General features: G+C 41.2%; 2 protein-coding genes across 41 annotated transcripts in view, besides 4 other annotated features; both read right to left on the bottom strand.

The window, feature by feature from the left end:
- On the bottom strand, positions 916 to 11,052 carry VAMP3 (vesicle associated membrane protein 3). Its single transcript, NM_004781.4, has 5 exons — positions 10,963 to 11,052; positions 8,837 to 8,906; positions 5,030 to 5,188; positions 4,179 to 4,230; positions 916 to 2,722 (listed from the first exon to the last, which is right to left on the bottom strand). Coding segments are annotated over exons 1-5 (303 nt in total). The 5' UTR covers positions 10,965 to 11,052; the 3' UTR covers positions 916 to 2,702.
- Positions 10,689 to 10,918: a silencer, noted in NCBI's record as "silent region_186". NCBI's record gives its function as "represses an Ori minimal core promoter by ATAC-STARR-seq in GM12878 lymphoblastoid cells {active_cell/tissue: GM12878}" and the evidence as "EXISTENCE:reporter gene assay evidence [ECO:0000049][PMID:35858748]".
- Positions 10,883 to 11,125: a silencer, noted in NCBI's record as "fragment chr1:7831283-7831525 (GRCh37/hg19 assembly coordinates)". NCBI's record gives its function as "represses an EF-1alpha promoter that drives an FKBP-Casp9 reporter gene in an ReSE screen in HepG2 liver carcinoma cells {active_cell/tissue: HepG2}" and the evidence as "EXISTENCE:reporter gene assay evidence [ECO:0000049][PMID:32094911]".
- Positions 11,152 to 11,848: an enhancer, noted in NCBI's record as "H3K27ac hESC enhancer chr1:7830560-7831256 (GRCh37/hg19 assembly coordinates)". NCBI's record gives its function as "activates a minimal SCP1, AML or CMV promoter by ChIP-STARR-seq in naive H9 embryonic stem cells {active_cell/tissue: H9 hESC(naive)}" and the evidence as "EXISTENCE:reporter gene assay evidence [ECO:0000049][PMID:30033119]".
- Positions 11,359 to 11,408: an enhancer, noted in NCBI's record as "active region_91". NCBI's record gives its function as "activates an Ori minimal core promoter by ATAC-STARR-seq in GM12878 lymphoblastoid cells {active_cell/tissue: GM12878}" and the evidence as "EXISTENCE:reporter gene assay evidence [ECO:0000049][PMID:35858748]".
- Positions 12,642 to 19,106, bottom strand: part of CAMTA1 (calmodulin binding transcription activator 1) — a 984,253-nt gene continuing 977,788 nt past the window's right edge. For all 40 annotated transcript variants that reach the window (XM_011541084.3, XM_011541083.3, NM_015215.4 and 37 more), the window contains one exon: positions 12,642 to 15,889. In XM_011541084.3, the coding sequence (XP_011539386.1) occupies positions 15,857 to 15,889 (33 nt within the window). In that variant the 3' untranslated portion in view covers positions 12,642 to 15,856. The remainder of the gene's footprint in view (positions 15,890 to 19,106) is intronic.

Below are 19,106 nucleotides of genomic sequence, written 5' to 3'. Positions count from 1 at the left end.
CGAGTGGGGAAGGCGGATTTCAACCTGAGATGAGAGGCGCCTGCCGCGGGTGAGGAAGTAGACCCGGCAGAGCTGAAAGTACCTGCAGAAGACCTTTGGAAAGAAGTCAGTTTGCTGATGAGAAACCGAAACAAACTTTATCAGGTCCATTTCTCCCTCAGGGCTTCCTTGCCTGTTTTCATTCATAGCTAACTCTGGCCTTCAAGCCACACCCTGATGTTGAAAGTCTCATGGGCACAAGTCTCTCCGATGTCAACAGCTATACTTTGGTGGAGTACCTTGCTTGGAGAAGAGAGAGCTGGAGAGTCGTGTGACATGAAGTCAGAAAACTAGAAAGGACCAGATCATCGTGGGACCTGTAATTCGGGAAAGGGACTTGGATTTTCCTATTGTAAACATAAGCAAAAGTCCTCTTCCACCCGTATTATATTGTTTCCTAGGGGTTCTACGATAAGAATGGAAATACATTCATGAGGAAAAAAGGATCTACAGGAACAGAGCCATGTGTCTGGGGATGTCCCTCACCTATCCACTCATCTATCCCAGGGTCCATGCCAGCAGCCATCTAGTCTACCACAGACGGGGTCGGCTCTGCACATCACTTTAGAAAGACCATCTATTTAGGGAACTCCAAAGCCACATCCTGAATTTTGGTAATTGTGTAAAAGCCAGTTTCCTCCTCATCGCCTATACTAAAAAGCACTTTTCACAAGGGGAGCGGTTTTCTTCTGTTCACTGGGGTATGCGGAAATGCTGGGTACCAAAAGGGTAGAGTACCTAGAGAGGGGCTGGTGAGAAAAGGGGGAGACAGTTTCGGGGCTTCTAAGGGACAGGTATGGGGAGCAGCAAGGAATGGCATTTTTAGGACTCGGACCAGGTGCAGCTATTCCTCTACAAGGAGCACAGGTGCCACAATCATGTTTATAAACACTTTATTTAGGTGATTACAGTGGGTAAGTTCCCAGCTAAGTGCACAGATAGAAGCGAGGTATTTCTGGGTTAATGCAGGAGCCAGTGGGTTACATGGGTCTGGGCACTGTGGCCAAGGGGCGAGTACCAAGGTTTCTGAGTCAGACCCGGCCAGAGACCCTGCGCTGAAGGTGGACTAATGTCCTAACACTGCCAGCTGCTTTCTCCTCACAGCTGGCCACACCGCAAGGCATCTCTTCAACAGTAAATCATTTCAGCGATGTTAAGGGAACAGACGTTAAAGAAATGGAAGCTGTGTCCTGGTGCGCCTCAGCTGTTGCTGCTTTATAAGTCATAATAGCATGTGAACAAGAGTTTTAGAATATTCCAGTAACAATGAGCCACAGAGCGATAAAGTCTGTGTCTTTCTCCCTCAGTGCCTCCTTGCCTGTTTTCTTTCATACCTGAATTCCCATCTTTAAGCTGTGGATCCTGATGTTGAGTCTCATGCATACAAGAAAAGTTTTTCCGATGACAAAGTTTCTGCTTCCAGCATTCCCATCAACAGCATTCTCTGCAGTTGATGATATCAAAGCAAAGGTCTCTGGTTGGCTACTCTCTGTGAAAAGAGCCATTCACCCCTGACCAATGCCTAATTGCAGGCATAATTTAGAAAACTGATTTAGGAAGCAGAATGTGAATACAAATAGGAAACAAACTCCAAAGTTATAGTTTATCTTCATATTTGGGCCAGATAATGATCAAGTTCACAGGTGGTCTTACTTGAGGCTACAGAATTGTTGCTTGCATAATTATCAGAAACATGCTGGAGTCCACAGCTGATAATCTGCCAACTGCTGGGTAGAACTCTTTTATGAGACGGTCAGAGTCTACCTCAAACCTTCTCTAACCCCCATGCAAAATACTGAATCAGAAGGGGAGCCACACTGTCTACAGCCTTTCAAAAGGAAGAAAGGCCTATGAAGATGTAGAAGGTTCACACACAAGGTAATGATTTTAATTCTGAAGGGGCACCTTGAGTTCCATTTGGCACGTTTCTGAATTTAACTGTCAGGAATACACTTAAGGCCATTTTATCGGTATTTAACTTTTTGGCAAAATAGAAGCTTTGGTCATAGCCATAGTTCTTTAAAAATTTTTTTAAAGAGGTTATCTCTGATTAAAACAATATTTTTAGCAAGTGATACATAACAATAACAACAATGTAAACATCTTCAAATCTAATGCAAGAGCAAAAGCTCTTCACCAGCATCTTAAATACAGCGAGAGTCAGTAGTGCTTACAAAAAGTAGAGGGTTCTCTTCTAGGGAATCAGAAAATTATCAAAATAAGGCACAGCCTGTTGTTATCACAGATTTGTGTTAGGCAGTAGTGTTTTTTTCTGGAAGGCATAAGTTGGAAATCTGATTACCCAAAGGTTTAAAATGTGGTTCTGAAAATAATGCCAAATGACAAGGGTAACTAACTGGGAGTAATGGCAATTAATTAGTGACAACATTACATCTAGATTATAGCACTCTGGAACTTAAGAAGGCCTCTTCATCAGCCCATACGTAAATCTGTAAAGGCACTGTGCAAAATGTGGACGGGGCCGGCCTTCTAATTTGGAGTGCATATTAAAAAACAAAGGCACGTTTCCTAGAAATTCAACTTTACATTAACACAAAAAAAATTTTAGAGATAACAGTAGGTAAGCTTGATAATATAGCAGGTTCTAAGTCAAAAGTCTTGAAGAGGTTTCTTGAACAGCAGTTTTGAGTTCCGCTGGTTCTTCATGAAGAGACAACCCACACTAAGAAGGAGGAGAGATGCAAAAAGGCAGGGGAAACAGCAGGTTAGTCTCTCAGTGTGAATCCCAAGCCAACATCCAATGCTGCAGTCTAAATGTGATCAGAAATTAGACTGGGCTGATTTCCTACTACTGGCTTCTCTCCATTCTATAGAGGGCTAGAGGAAGGAGACTAGAGTCAAAAGGATCCAAGTAACTGTACCTTCCTGCTAAAAGGAAACATCCACTAACATCCATCTATCAATGAAAGAAGTCATGTTTCGGTTCTCATATACTGGGCTACCGATGGCAGTGAGTTGTTTGAATATTATATAATAATAGTTGTGTGTGTGTTTGTGTATACATATATATTATTTATATAGCTATTATTTTTATTATTATATGCCAGGCACCAACCTAAGCAATTTTTATTTATTTTATTTATTTATTTTTTTGAGACGGAGACTTGCTCTGTCACCTAGGCTGGAGTGCAGTGGCATGATCTTGGCTCACTGCAAGCTCCGCCTCCCGGGTTCATGCCATTCTCCTGCCTCAGCCTCCCCAGTAGCTGGGACTACAGGCGCCCGCGACCACACCCGGCTAATTTTTTGTATTTTTAGTAGAGACGGGGTTTCACCGTGTTAGCCAGGATGGTCTTGATCTCCTGACCTCGTGATCTGCCCGCCTCAGCCTCCCAAAGTGCTGGGATTACAGGCGTGCGCCACCAAGCCCGGCCAATTTTTATATATTTACCAGATCTGTCCTTTAACAAACAAACAAACAAACAAGACAGGGACTATTATTATCCCCATTTTACAAATGAGGAAACAGAAACCCAGAGATATTAAATTGCTTGTCCACGGCCATACAGCTGGATGGTGGTGGAGCCAGGATGGATCACAGGCACTCCATGCTTTTAACCACTACATTACATAAAAGGAAATATGTGAAAAAAATATATTCAGAGAAAAGAAGTGGAAATGAATAGATTTTCTCTAACTTCAAAGGATTAATGTTTGTATCAAATCTCAGACTTATACAAAACTCAAGTACTTAAAACATTTATTAAAGAAAACTGAAAACCTTGGAATAAATGAACCTTTCTTTTTTTTTTTTGAGAAAAGGTCTCACTCTGTCACCCAGACTAGAGGGCAGTGGCATGATCATGGCTCACTGCAGCCTTGAATTCCTGGGCTCAAGCAATCCTCCTGTCTCAGCCTCCTGAGTAGCTGGGACTTACAGGTGTGCACTACCATGCCTGGTTAATTATTAACAATTGTTTGTAGAGACGCTATGTTGCCCAGGCTGGTCTCAAACTCCTGGCCTCCCAAAGCTTTGGGATTACAGGCATGAGTCACCGCACCTAGCCAAAACTAACATTTCGGAGGGAAATTTTAATCTGAGTTCTTGTACACAAAATCAATGGTCTGTGAACACATGGAGAAGACTTTTCCAATCAGTTTAGAAAAGGGTAACTCACCGATGATGATGATGATGAAGATAACCAGAACAGTAATCCCGATTGCCCACATCTGTAACAAAACATATGTCCATATCACATTTCAAATGCAGACATAATGTGCTTGTTGAAGAGTATTATATAATATTCATCTAGTCACTGAAAGGGAAATTCAGGTGCATACAGTCTGGAGTAATTAATAATTTCTAAAGCCTAAATTAAATGTTCTCAATTAGGGCCTGAAGGTAACTTATCTGCTTTTAAAAGATGTTCAAATGATGTGTGGCCTCTAGCTAGGCATTTGTTTGTGTATACAAGTTTTCCACATATGGAAAGGCTGCTCAGCTTGCCCTGTGTCTCAAAGTGTCACTTGTAAACAAGGCAGAGGACAGGATACATCTGGATCTGATTGCAGCACGCTAACTGTATAAAATCTGCTTTGGCTCGTGCTCCTGGGAGAGCTGCTTTCTACTCTTCTGTTGGGCACACTGTGGCTTTCTAGCATTTCTTTCCCTTGACCTTGGAACCATTCACAGAACTACGAGAAAACTGACCAATTCCAGCCCTCTCCTATCTGTTTGGGGCCCTGCTGGGGTAGAGGGTTGGGAGGGGCTGATGACTGTGAGTGATTTTGGATATTCCTGTTCTACCTGCATCTTCTGAAGATCAGCCACAGCACATAGAGGATTCCTAGTGTGGGGCTAGGAAAGGGTATGCAGTCAGTGTTTCGGATTCACAGTGGACCCACATTTCCATGTGGAGGAAGTCAAACCCACCTCCCAGAGTCGTGAAAGTCCATTATCTGTAGCCTGTTAATTCTCTGAGAATGGAGAAGGGGGGTTAAATGTAAAGGTCAGTTAAAAGATAATTACCTTGCAATTCTTCCACCAATATTTCCTCTTCAACTTGGCTGCGCTCGTTTCAAATTGAGAAGCGCCTGCCTGCAGTGCGTCTGCACGGTCGTCTAACTCAGAGAGCTTCTGGTCTCTTTCCAGAACCTTGTCCACGTTAACTCGCATTATGTCCACCACCTAGATGAGTGTGATCACAGCAAGTAATGCACAAAGAATGGAGGAACAGGGCCAGGTGCGGTGGCTCACGCCTGTAATCCTAGCACTTTGGGAGGCCGAGGTGGGTGGATCACCTGTGGTCAGGAGTTCGAGACCAACCTGGCCAACATGGGGAAACCCTGTCTCAGTACTAAAAACATAAGAAAATCAGCCGGGAGGGGTGCTGGGCGCTTGTAATCCCAACTACTCAGGAGGCTGAGGCAGGAGACTCGCTTGAACCCAGGAGGAGGAGGTTGCAATGAGGTGAGACTGCGTCATTGCACTTCAACCTGGGTGACAGAGTGAGACTCCGTCTCAAAAAAAATGGAGGCACAGAGACTTCAAAGACAATCTACAGGCACATTGTTCTTTCAGGTCAGCACTTTATTACTTTGAGCCAAACTTTCACTTTAGAAAAAATGGGCTCACTCTTTCATGATCAAAACAATCAGCATATTAAGGATAGAAGGGAATTTCCTTAATATGATAAAGGGCATTTATGGGAAAATCCACAACTAATATCATGCTCCATGGTGAAAGACTTCCCCCCTAAGATCAGGAACGAGGCAAGGATGCTCACTTTCACACTGCCACTCAATACTGTACTGGAAGTTCTGAACAGAGCAATTAGTCAAGAGAAAGAAAAGGCATCCAAATTGGAAAAGAAGAATAAACCTATCTGTATTTGCAGATGATTCTCTCTATATAAAAAATACCAAAGAATCCACAACAAACTGCTAGAGCTAACAAATTCAGCAAAGTTGCAGGGTACAACAACAACACATAGAAATCAGTTGTGTTTCTATACACCAGCAACAAATAATCTGAAAAGGAAATTAAGGAAACAATTGTGTTTACAATAGCATCTAACAGAATAAAATACCTAGGAATAAATTTAACCAAAAGGTGAACGACTTGGACAATGAAACTAGAAAACATTGCTAAGAGAAATTGTTAAGAGACATCATTAAATGGGAAAACATCCTATGTTCACACACTGGAAGACTTAATATTGCTAAGAGGGCAGTACTCCCCAAAGTCACTTCCCAATTTCAAAACTTACTACAAAGCTACAGTAATCAAAACAGTGTGATACTGGCATAAGGACAAACATATAGACTGATGGAATAGAACTGAGAGTCTAGAAGTCAACCTAAGCATCTATGGCCAATTGATTTTTGACAAGAGTGCGAAGGCCATCCAACAGTCTTTTCAATAAACAGTGCTGGGCCAATTGAAGAGCCAACATGCAAAAGAATGAAGTTGAATCCCCACCTCACCCTATATACAAAAAGTAACTCAAAATGGATCAATAATCTAAGTGTAAGAGCTAAAGCCATAAAACTCTTAGAAGAAAACATAAGGGTAAATCTTCATTACTTTGGATTTGACTGTGGATTCTTATATACCAAAATCAAGAACAACAAAAGGAAAAACAGATACATTGGACTTCATAAAAATTAAAAACTTTTGTGCATCAAAGAACATTATCAGGCCAGGTGCGGTGGCTCATGCCTATATTCCCAGCACTTTGGGAGGCCCAGGCAGGTGGATCACCTGAGATCAGGAGTTTGAGACCAGCCTGACCAAAATGGTGAACCACTGTCTCTACTAAAAATACAAAAAATTAGCCGGGCAAGGTGGCGGGCGCCTGTAATCCCAGCTACTCTGGGGGCTGAGGCAGGAGAATCACTTGAACCTGGGGCTTGGAGGCTGCAGTGAGCTGAGATTGCACCACTGCACTCCAGCCTCGGCAACAGAGCAAAACTCCGTCTCAAAAAAAATAAATAAAAATAAAAAAAATAAAAAAAATGTAAAAGACAAGCCACAGAATGGGAGAAAGTATTTGCAAATCACATGTCTGATAAAGAAAGATTTAATATCCAGAATACATAAAAAACTCTCACAACTCAAACAACCCAATTAAAAAATGGGCAAAGCCTGAACAGACATTTCTTCAAAGACATACAAATGGCCAATAAGCACATGAAAAGATGCTTAACATCACTAATCATTAGAGAAACGCAAATGAAAACCCAAAGAGCTCAGTAGGATGGTTATAATCAAAATGGAAAACAAGTGTTGGCAAGGATGTGGAGAAACAGGAACTCTTGGACATTGCTGGTGGGAAAATAAAATGGTGCAGCTATTGTGGAAAACAATTTGGCAGTTCCTCGTAAAATTAAACATACAGCTACTATGACCTAGCAATGCTACTCCTAGGTATACATTCAAGAGAAATGAAAGCCTATGTCTAAACAAAATCTTTCCTGTGAATATTTATAACAGCATTATTCATAATTGCTGAAAGGTGGAAACAACTCGAAGACTCATTAACAAATGGATGGCTCAACAAATTGTGTATACACATACAATGGAATATTACTCAACCGTAAAAAGGAACACGGTACAACACGTTACAACTTGAATGAATGCAAAAAACTTTGTGCTAAGTGAAAGAAGGCAGATGCAAAAGGCCACACATTGTATGATTCCTTTTATATGACATACCCAGAACAGGCAAATCCACAGAAAGAGAGAGCTGATTAGAGGTAACCAGAGAATGGGAGGAAGGGGAAATAGTGAATGATTACTAAATGGGCATGAGGTGTTCTGGGGTGATGAAAAAGTTCTGAAAATGGAAAGAGGTAATGGTTGCAAAATATTATCAATATACTAAATAACACTCAATTATATACAGTTTAAAATGTTTAGTTGTATGTTATGGTAATTTTGCCTCAATAAAAAAACAACTCTCCTTAAAATTCCTTTGGCTAAAAAAAAAAATCCAATTTGATTTTGTAAGTAAACAGAATTTCCAGGCAGGACAGAATTACAATGGGTTTCTTACTGTGAAAATCTAAAATTGTATAAGTTCATGAACAAAACCATCAGATCAAAACATTACTATATTATTTAACAACAGTATCTGACATAACTTTAACTGTTTTTTCAGGGCAGCTAAATGCAGAAAGACCGAAATATATTTGTCGGACAGTGACGGCTTTTAGGAATGTGGAAACACTAGTCTGAATTTCTCAATCTTCTGCTGTGGTTCTCCACATACGGCGCAGAACAAAAGATGGAGGTCCTCTAGCTCAAGAATTCTACAAACAGAGATTTGCTGAGCTAATGGAGTTTGACAGTATCTACTTTGTGTGTGTCAATGGACAACCATTAGAGATGAATTCTACAGAGAGGCTTGCTCAGGCTGGACAATTAGTAAGAAGACAAAGCATTTTGATAAAAAAATCTGATCAGAAGAACTGGTCTTGGCTTGAGCAATCTAAAGACCTAATCCTTAACATTGTATTATCCGATTTTATAAAGTGCTTCTTGGGGAATGCACTCAGGGAGTGATGTTCATGTTTTAGGCATATGATTTTTTATTTCTCCTGAGCTAAATGTTATGAGCAGGTTTCTATCACAGGAAAACAAGCGTGAAACCTAGAAAGTCTGACTTTTGCTTAGATTAGATCTTCCAGCACAGCAGGGAGCAAAGTTTCGTTACAATTATGATACAGTCAGAATTTGCTTTACATTCACACTTTGATGATACTTTTTCTAAACAGATTTCCAGAGTACTCATATTTGTTTAAAATTCATATTTCCAACATTTCAGAGCAATACCTCATCTACTTGATTTTGTGTCTGCTGAAGTCTTCGATTACTGCCAGTGGCAGCAGTTGGACCTGTAGACCTGGAACATGTAAAGGCATGAGCATGAGTACATTACGATTCCAAATACATTTTCTTAAGTATAAAGATGTTACTCCGGGACTCTCACTGTTAACAATCTCTTACATTAGAACTAAAACAGAAAAAGAAATTCTTCCTGAAGCAATGAACGAAAGTTTTAATTGCATTTCTTCTAATTTCTCTATAATTTCCAAGACTGTCCCACCTACTAAAGGGACAAATGTTAAGCTTTAATAGGACCTACTTTGTATCCCTGAAGTATCTGATCCCACGATAGGTAAGCTCTACTGTCCTTTTTTGAAACTTGTTCTAAGGCACACATCTGCTTGAATGTACTCAGTACTTTCCTGATCTTTTCATTGTGGAAGGAACTGTTTTCATAGTTACAAACAGTTACAGAATGCCCTTTTTCCAATATGGAAAAATAGATTAATTTACAGAAACAGAGTCAGGAACACTGGGATGCAGGGAGTGGGTGGTGTGAGTGGAAAGGTGTGTTGAAGAAATGCCTCCTCTTTTAGGAAGGTACTCTTTCTTTTTCCCCCTCTTTTGAGAGACGGAGTTTCGCTCCTGTTGCCCGGGCTGGAGTGCAATGGCGCGATCTCGGCTCACTGTAACCTCCGCTTCCTGGGTCCAAGCAATTCTCTTGCCTCAGTCTCCCAAGCAGCTGGGATTACAGGCATGTGCCACCACGCCCGGCTAATTTTGTATTTTTTAGTAGAGACGGGGTTTCACCATGTTGGTCAAGCTGGTCTCGAACTCCTGACCTCAAGTGATCCGTCCACCTCGGCCTCCCAAAGTGCTGGGATTACAGGCATGAGCCACCGCGCCCGGCCCAGGAAGGTACTCATCTTTTAAAATCTTCATCAAAGGCTTTATTTCTCCCCATGCAGATCTTTCTTAACCACTCTGACTCTGAAGTCATTATTGGCTCCATTACTTGGAAAGTATCACTTTGGTTTTTCAGGTATAAAGTCCCGCCTCCTCGAATAGATCACAGGTTCCTGGGTCTTCTTACTCTCTTCTCTGTATCCTAGATAGCACCTAGCATGTGCCTTGGTATACAACAGTCTGATGGGCTGTTTGAACAGTCACTTTACATCTGTCATGTGTCAATGACCAGGGCTACAACAGATCTCATCACCGTCCTCACGGAGTTTAGTATCTGGTAGATAAGTAAGGACCATGCCGTGGCGCTAGACTCTTTCCATGCTTTTCCTCCTTTAACCCTCATAACTCTCTGAGGGGAATATTACTCCTATTTTACAAATGAGTAAAGTGAGGTTTAGAGAGTCAACACAGCTGGCTGCAGGACAGCTTGTTTTTAGATCAGGTCCTGTGTACCTTGGCTCTAGATCTTAACCACTGTGATCTATTGGCACAGCAGCCTCAGCAGGAACATTCGAGGGGGGTCCCCAGCTCCTGGAAGAAACCCGGGGCTTCCTCCGACGGTGAGCAATGAGCAGAATGGAGGTGGAAGAGGGAGTCCTTGTGATTCTTAACCATTAGCATTCTCTGAGTCTTACCACTGGAAGCAGGGGTTTGCAACGTGCTTTCGCTTAAGAGAGCGAAGGCCCACGGTTAAGTGATCTTTCCAGTGCAGATGCCCCTAGCTAGGCAAGGAGCTCTTCGGCCCACAGGGGCTCAGGACAGGGCCGAGGTCCTTTCTTTCGCAACTTCTGGGGCCCAGCGCAGCACCGGGCCGAGAGCGGGCGCTCCCGAACCAGGGCTGTCGTCCCCATTCCTCTCAGGGACGTCGGGGACTAGAAAGGGAAGGGGCGAGGAGCGGGCTGCGGGCGGGCAGCTCACTTCCTCCGGGAAGCGTCTCGCCGCCCCGCCCTTGCCCCTTCCGCGTCCGCCCGATGGCCGCGGGACCCGCCCGGCCCGTCTGCAGCCCGCGACCCAAGGGCCACCGCCCACCCCCAGGCCTCGGGATCCCCGCGCAGCCCCGGCCTGCGTCCGAGTGGCGGCCGGCGGCAACTGGGCAGTATGGCGGTCCCAGCGCGAGCTGCCGCCTGCGGGGCCCGAAGCCGCCCGCGTCGCGTAGCGTCACTCACATTTTGGCAGCTGCGGCGGCGGCAGCGGCGACGAGAGAGGGTCAGCAGAGAAGCGAAGTTGGGACCGGAGGCCAGGGAGATGGGTGGGACGGCGCGGCGCGGGGCAAAGACGTCACTAGGCGGAGCCGGGGGAGTGGGCGGGGCGAAGAGGGGGCGCGCCGGAAGTGGGCGGGGGCGTCGTGGGTGGGTGCGTCCAGGGCGGGGTCAGAGCGAGACGTCCCCTCCCCGGACGAGGTCACTTGGGAACTTGAGGGCCACAGGGGTCCCAGGGCGGTCCGGGCTCTGAAACGCAGAACGCAGGTCAATACAGCTCCCTGTCCGCACCGCCGTCCGCGCTGGCGCTTGGGGACGTGGTCTGTAAACGTGGTGCATTAGCCACTGGCGAGGGACTGCGTGGATAAGTGAGGGTGGGGGCAATTCATGTTATTCTGGGCTCGGGACCATTTCTAACAGTATTAGAGACAGATGACTGGCTTCTGCTGAGTGTTCCAGAGTAACCTAGTGATCCTGAGGGCACCATGTTTCTCTAAAGTAGTTGAAATAGGAAGTCCATTTCGGGTATTTGTCACATGGTGTTGGGTGAGGTTCCCGCTCATGTTTTCATCGGTGACACAAATATTTGTCACTGCAGATCATATTATAATCTGCTTACGAGAGCCTTGGCATCAAGGCTGTAGTTCCTTTATTTCTGTATTTTCAGGCCCTAGCACAGAATAGGTCCTCAGGTTTTGGTCGAAGGGAGGGAAGCACAAATCTGAACGCAGTGAGTTACCTTGTATATATTTGTTACTGAAATATTCCTACCAACATAGTTACCTACACCAAAAAATAAAACACTAATAGGTCATTGGTGGGTCTCTTAGATGAGAAGTGAAAAATACAGTACTTAAATACTATGCTGTTTTTTCCAACTCTAAATAGAATACTTTGAAAAGGGAAACGTTAGTATATATCGAATAAACGAGTGTCACAAAGGCGGTGGGATTTGAGCTGGGTACTAGTGGAAAAGAACTTTCCAAGTAAGGGTTGGGCAAACACCATGAACAAAGACAGCAGTGAAAATGGACGCAGTGTGCACAGACCACCTAGAGGGTGCAGGTTGGGTACAAGTGAAAAGAAGACTGAATAAAGAGGATAAACAAACAAGAAAAATGTCATTTAATTGTAGTGGGCCCTGGAAACCATTGACTTACGGACGTGGGAGATCCATGATGCAAAATTTCTCTGGCAGTAGTGGCCAGATGGATTAGATGGAAGAGGGAGCACTAGGGAGATAAGGAGAGGCTCTGCAGTGAACGGGAAGGGAGCGGCGATGACACAATACTCAGAAAGGACGACGTTCGTAATCTGCTGGAAAATGCCTTTTAGAAGACTTTAGAGGATTGTAACTGAAAAGGTGAATTAAATTAATGTCTTTATCTTTCAAATAATTGCACTGCCTTACACAAATGATTGACATGTTGAGAGGTGCCTGGAAAGATAGGGGAAAAGCTCTCTGAATGGTGGCTGGAAGACATTTTTTCTTTCATGGACCTAGCTGAAACAATGTAACATTCAATGTCAAAACATTACATCTGGATCAGAAGGAAATCCTTGACATTATTACATATGTTTTGAAACATGTGCCCATCACCTTAGATTTCACTACCCGGTCATATTAAAGCAAAACACACACGTAGTATGGGGAAATTTTCTTCATTTTTAATTTACAGCAGAAAGAATATAAAGCATTCAGAAAACATTTTCCATATTTTAAGGGCAATTCAAAACATTTTGCATGGTTTCCAGCAGCTGAGTTCTTCAACAGATCCATTGATTCAATGATGCTTTACATGCACAATTACAAAAATAAAACTTACAAAAAAAGAAGACATCTAGACTAGTTTTACATGCAAGTCTCAGGGACCCCCCATTGGGCGCCAACTACTGTGTGGAACTGCCATAAGCGACCGTGCAGCCAGAGAGGGGTTCGTATTATTGTCTTTATTTCGTTCACACAGTACAGCTGATTTCGAATGGGTAACAATAGCAATTAAATCTTCAGGAGATAGAATAAGATTAGCTATTAATTTTATAATGAAATCCTACTCCTGGCACTTGGGAATTCAGATTATCCAAGAAAGCTGCGCTTACCTATCATCTTATATTCGAAATTAAGATTCATAACCAAGAAAAAGCGGTCAGAAATGCTTCGTTTCAGTGGAAGTGCATTTTTGCCTCGCCTAGGATTCACAGTTGTACTGGTAGGTTACACTGGTAGGCTTTAAACCTACTTCCTATCCCCTCCATGAGAACCCTCTTAATTCTATGGAAGTCTCTACCATCTGTCATTTTCTAACGTATTCAGCTAATAATGTAACATGTGAAACATTAAAAAAAAAATGTGAGGGTTAAAGCAAATCCACTGAGGTCATTACTCTGGTTAAAACATCAGTTATTTGTACCATAATAAATGGAATAAAGATATCTAAATTCAGTATTAATAGAGGATATTCTGAAAGAGCTGGCTTTCACGTTCTATTCCCATTTATGAATGCAGTTGTGTTTGTAAATTACTCAGTGTCCTCCTATAGGTCAAATTGTGTAAAATAATAGGTATCTGGGGGACTGCAACAGCTGCAACATAACCCACACATTTAAAAACAAAATGGAGTCAGGTCAGTTTACAAATGTACAGGTGGCTACTAGTTGTGGGGCTGTCACTGTTGTCAAAGCTGATCACAAGCAGAAAGACATATACTGTACAGTAATTCGAGGTTGGCAGTGAAAGGAAGTAATTAAAAAACAAGTACAATTATAGAAAAGGCACCAAGAGCACTGACCCCAGTTTTTACCACAATCTTTTTGTATCTACCTTCCTTCCAAAGACACCAGTTTAAAAGCTTATTTGTGAATATTTTTAGGCTTCACAACAAGCCTTGAGTTTTAACTCACAGTTGGCAGCCAGAACCAAGAAAAAACATCTCAGCTTTACACCAACTGATCCTCAGACGTAACCTGGGAATTTTAAACTGGCATCAGCAAATACGAACTTTATTCTCTCAATTTAACATTAGCAGTTTAATTGTTAAAAACATCAGATTTCTTTGGCTCCTCATTATGTGGAAATAGTAATATACCATGCCGTCTCTAAAAGACCAGTCTGCATCTTTTTCATTTTTTTTTTTGTGCAATTTTATTATATTTTCTGATTTCCAGCAGGAGATATGGAAACGTGACATTTTTCTACTTTTCATACTATTTCTTTTGTCAGGTTTTTTTTTTTTTTTTTTATCATTCTAAGTGTTCTTTGTTGGAGTGAGTGGATGGTGTTAAGCTACATACTGATTCATCTTATGATTATCTGTTTTGCAAAAGTAACTTAATTTTCTTAAGCAGTATTAGCATTCACATTACTTGGCACCATTGGCAAAAAAATTTTAAATAAAATAAACTAAACTCCTGGTAGCCAAAATTAAATGTAAACATATCCTTTTTTTTTTAAGTAATGTTACTCTGCCTTTTTTCCTAAGTCTAAATACAGTAGCTCTTTTTTTTTTTTTGCAGTTTAGTCATGCTTTAGCAAAATGTTCTCCTAAAGAACATTTAAAATAAAGTACTCTTATAGTGAAATAAAGTTTTTTTGTTTCATTTTACAGACCATAGCCACTAATGCTTTGCTTTTGTTCATTTCTTTTTTCTTGATTTCATGCACATATCTCTGTTTTAATATATACAATATATACAAACAGTACATCCACATTTTTCTCGCTCATTCAGACAAAACTATACAAATAATTTTATCTTGCCATGTTATTGACCTTTGTGAATAAAATATTTAGCAATTAATATAATCCCTTTCAAATATTTTCTCACTTTTCATTTCTACCTTCTATATATACACAGAAACTGCTCAGTTTGGATGAGATATAGCCAAAAACATGGAATTTACTGGCCAGAACGCAGCACCACACTGATCGTTTAGGTGGCAAATGTCCAGGCAAGGTTCATGATTCCTTAGAATTACTACAGCTTCCAAGGTTACTAAAAAAGGCTACATGCGTTACCAATTCTTAAGTAATTCTCATTGCACATGAAAGTAAGGCAAAAAAATTAAAGTGCTGAACATGAAAAAGGGGACAAGATGATTACTACCCTCGCAGGTTCTTGGAAGGTGGTGGGGACAAGAAAATAGTTTAAACTCTGTGAGCTGCTTCTCATTATTTCCCATGCATTACCCGTTTACCACACACCTGCCCCTCTGCAAATTTCCACAAGACATTAAAAACCTGCAGATTTCAAAAGTTGCATTAAATGTGCTGTAGAGATTAAAACAAACAAACAAACAAACAAAAATAAACAGTGAAGGAAATGAGAACACACGGACCCAATAAAGATTTTTGTATGATCTAAGCCCTCCACTGAGAATCAGTCCCAAAGATTCAGCTTCTTGGAAATAACCGGCAGGTGCAGGAACAGCATTCTTTTTTTGTTGCTAGTATAGCCCCACCTTTTCTTATCTATATTTTTGGTATAAATATTTGTACAGTTCCACACGATGTTTGAATACAGCCCTATATGAGAAGGAAATGGCTTCTTCCTGAGAAGAGGAAGCCTCTTTCAATTCCTCCTGGGTGTCTTGATTTCCCGTGATCCAACAGAAGATTGAGTTCCAAGATGTCTTGCTGATCAAATTAAAAGTTGTCCATGAAAGTGCAAATGCAATGACCAAAACATTCCTGTTAAAATCCTGCAGCTGATCTCCCCAAAACTGCAGAGGGATTTTGTATGTGTGTGTACGTGTGTGTGTGTGCGTGTGTGCGTGTGTGTTGTTGTTGCATGTCTCTGCTAAAAACAGAAATGAAAACAGTCTGAAAAGCAATGTCACATTGCTAAGGGATGCTGCTGTATGTCTTCAAGTTCCTTGGCCTTTTTCAATTCTTTCACTCTGGAAGAGAAACAAAACAAAACAGCAGGCGATAACTCTATAGTGAATTGTGACCAAGTAAAGGAAAGGGGTATTACCACTCCCTCTGAACTGAAAAGCCAAGACTAAAACCGTTTTGAGGATTGACGGCAAAAGAAACTCCTGTGAAATTGTTGGGGAAAATATTCAAAGGAAAGACGTGACCCTACTTAAGGTGAAAAAAAAATCATTCTAAAGCTTTGCTCTACATCGAGCGCTCTAAGAATAGAGCAAAATCAAAGTCTAATGTATTAAATCAAGTGTGACAATCACATGTTTATCTTAATAAAAATTTAACTATTCAAATAACTTTCTTTTTAGTCTCGTGGACCACCATTAATGTCCTATCACTCTGTATGATGTAAATTAGGGAAACTGTACATGCATTTATTTAGTTTTTTTTTTTTTTTTTTTGAGACAGAATCTCGCTGTGTTACCCAGGCTGGAGTGCAGTGGCACCATCTCGGCTCACTGCAACCTCCGCCTCCCGGGTTCACGCAATTCTCCTGCCTTAGCCTCCCGAGTAGCTGGGACTACAGGCGCCCGCCACCACACCCGGCTAATTTTCTGTATTTTTTAGTAGAGACAGGGTTTCACCATGTTAGCCAGGATGGTTTCGATCTCCTGACCTCGTGATCCGCCCACCCAGCCTCCCAAAGTGCTGGGATTACAGGCGTGAGCCACCGCGCCCGGCCTATTTAGCTTTTAATATATCTAGGGATTAAGCTACTACTGCTTTGTTCATAGACTCAAGATTGTTAGCTTTCTTGAACCTAATCATACATCTGTACAACTCTACTCCTTCACACAGGTTTTGTGGAGACTTTGATTTTTATAATTCCTTACTTTCCTCCCATTCCACATTATAACTTAAAAAGACATTTAGGTTCCTCCTCCCAGTGATCCCAGATGGACAGCCATAGGGTGCGATACTGATAAGGTACTTCGTTCTATTCATCAAACATACTGTAGTAAACAAATTTAAATAACATTGTTATAGACTGAGTCATGGAAAGTTCACATCAGCAAATTACTTATTAATTATCACTGCCAATCTGTAATTTTTAATATAAAAATCAGTCTCAGTTTTTTTGGATATGGCCACCTGATGTAGATGGGGTGCTGGGGAAGCTGCTGTCTGCTGTAAGAGTATTTCTCTACACTGACAATTACGAACCTGCCTTAATAGCAGAATGATCAAATGTAAGGCAATGCATGTGGTGTAAGTCACAGTTTGTGGTACTGCATACCATATAATAACATTTGTTTCCCAAAAATGGATGTGAGAGGCTGATTTAGCCAAATAGGAGCAACAGTTTCTTAGGACACCATACTCTACTGCAACAGCATGATCAGGAAAAGGTGGATTTGTCGTGGTGCTATACAGAGGGCTATAATCTCAAATATATTTTTCTGATTCTCTAAGAGGCTCTCCTATTATCTTAAGTTATACCAGTAAAGTAAAACTTTTTTTTTTTTTTGAGACGGAGTCTAACTCTGTTGCCCAGGCTGGAGTGCAGTGGTGCGATCTCGGCTCACTGCAACTTCTGCCTCCTGGGTTCAAGTGATTCTCCTGCCTCAGCCTCCCGAGTAGCTGGGATTACAGGCACGCACCACCACGCCTAGCTAATTTTTGTATTTTTAGTAGAGATGATGTTTCGCCATGTTGGCCAGGCTGGTCTTGAACTCCTGAGCTCAAGTGATCTGCCCACCTCAGCCTCCCAAAGTGCTTGAATTACAGGCATGAGCCTACCAGGCCCAGCCTCAAGTAAAACCTGATAATACTCAGGCAGAAAGAAAATAGTGTGAAAAAACCAGTAATCAGTTATTGCTATATTGTATAGGTTGAGAGTCTGGAATGGCACATATGGTATAATAGCAATTTAAGAAAACATTTATATTTACCACTTCCAAGCAGAATCATTTCTGAGTATTCTGCAAAGTTGATACAATCTCTTCATAGAGAAGATGCTCTCTTTTAGAAGAAAAGCTTTATGATGTTATCAGTAATACTAAAAAGAATTATAATCTTTGAAAACTTGCTTACTTGTCTGATTTACTTACTACATATACCAAGCCCTAGCTTGGTCCTAGTGTGATTTTTATAAATGACAGTGACAAACAGTGTATCTCTAAAACTGTTGAATCTTTTTTTGTTAACAGGCACAGTTAGAATACATTGCTATGTTCATGAGTAGATCCAAATATCATTTAGTTTTAAATTTTATAATTAAATATACCATGGATTAATTTGGGTCATATTACAGTATAGAATTGTACATCACTATAGGTCCCTAATTTTGGACATGCATACTTGATAAATAAATGGCTTTTTAAAAATTGAAACATGCTATAGTCTGTTCAATTTTTAAACATGCAATATCTATACTAACATCCCTTTGGCTGGAAATGCAAGGCATGCACTGATGCCAACTTCGCTTCTGGACATGCAATATCTGTACTTGTGCAGACCTATCTGCTGAATTTCTGCAGCGTGTGCATGCCACTTCAAATGCTACATTTTCTTTCTGCACTAGCACAGACCTCATTCACAAATATGCGACAGTGACTCCATCACTGATGAGATGTCTATAATTTGAGGAATTCTGAACTCAAAATCTGATAGCATAAACACGACGATGTTATACATTCACAATTTTTCTCGAATGAACAGGAATGCTTTAGAAATATTAAGTTCATCATTGAGATGAAATAAAAAGGAGAGTGAATTATAAGCCAGAAATGTTTTATGTGGTTTCATACCAAAGAATCTATAATCAGCTGGTCAGGGGAGGTATACCCTAAACATTTTTCTTTTAGTTAAAATGGTCACATTTGTTTTTGCAGTTTTTTCAGTTTCTTTCAGAACTAATTAAAAAGTTAAGTTTTCATAAGGTTTTAAAGTTGTCAAGTAAATACTCTATGAAATTAGTGATGGCCTCACAGACCACGAGGTTAAGGAGAGGTGCATGTCCACGTACAATGTCTACGCAGGAAAAATGAGAACAATGCAATTTTCAGATATATTTTCCAGGCTTCCACAACTCCTGAGTTAAAGTGGAGAATTTAGTTCTTAGCTTCATGATAAAGTTATCATAGTATGCTAGCATTATACATGACATCAAAATGACTTAAATGGCACAAACATTTTTTACAGAAAGTCGTTCAAGGAGGAATTAGAAAAAAAAGGGGAAAATGA

Source organism: Homo sapiens, chromosome 1, assembly GCF_000001405.40.
Source record: "Homo sapiens chromosome 1, GRCh38.p14 Primary Assembly".
Lineage (NCBI taxonomy): Eukaryota > Metazoa > Chordata > Mammalia > Primates > Hominidae > Homo > Homo sapiens.
This window is presented reverse-complemented; position numbering and strand designations above follow the sequence as displayed.

Excerpts from the sequence above, each read along its gene's own strand:
- VAMP3 (NM_004781.4), bottom strand. Across the intron at positions 5,189-8,836 it reads CACAAAATCAAGTAGATGAG|GTGGTGGACATAATGCGAGT; the intron begins GTATTGCTCTGA and ends ACACTCATCTAG. Across the intron at positions 4,231-5,029 it reads ATTGGTGGAAGAATTGCAAG|ATGTGGGCAATCGGGATTAC; the intron begins GTAATTATCTTT and ends GTTTTGTTACAG.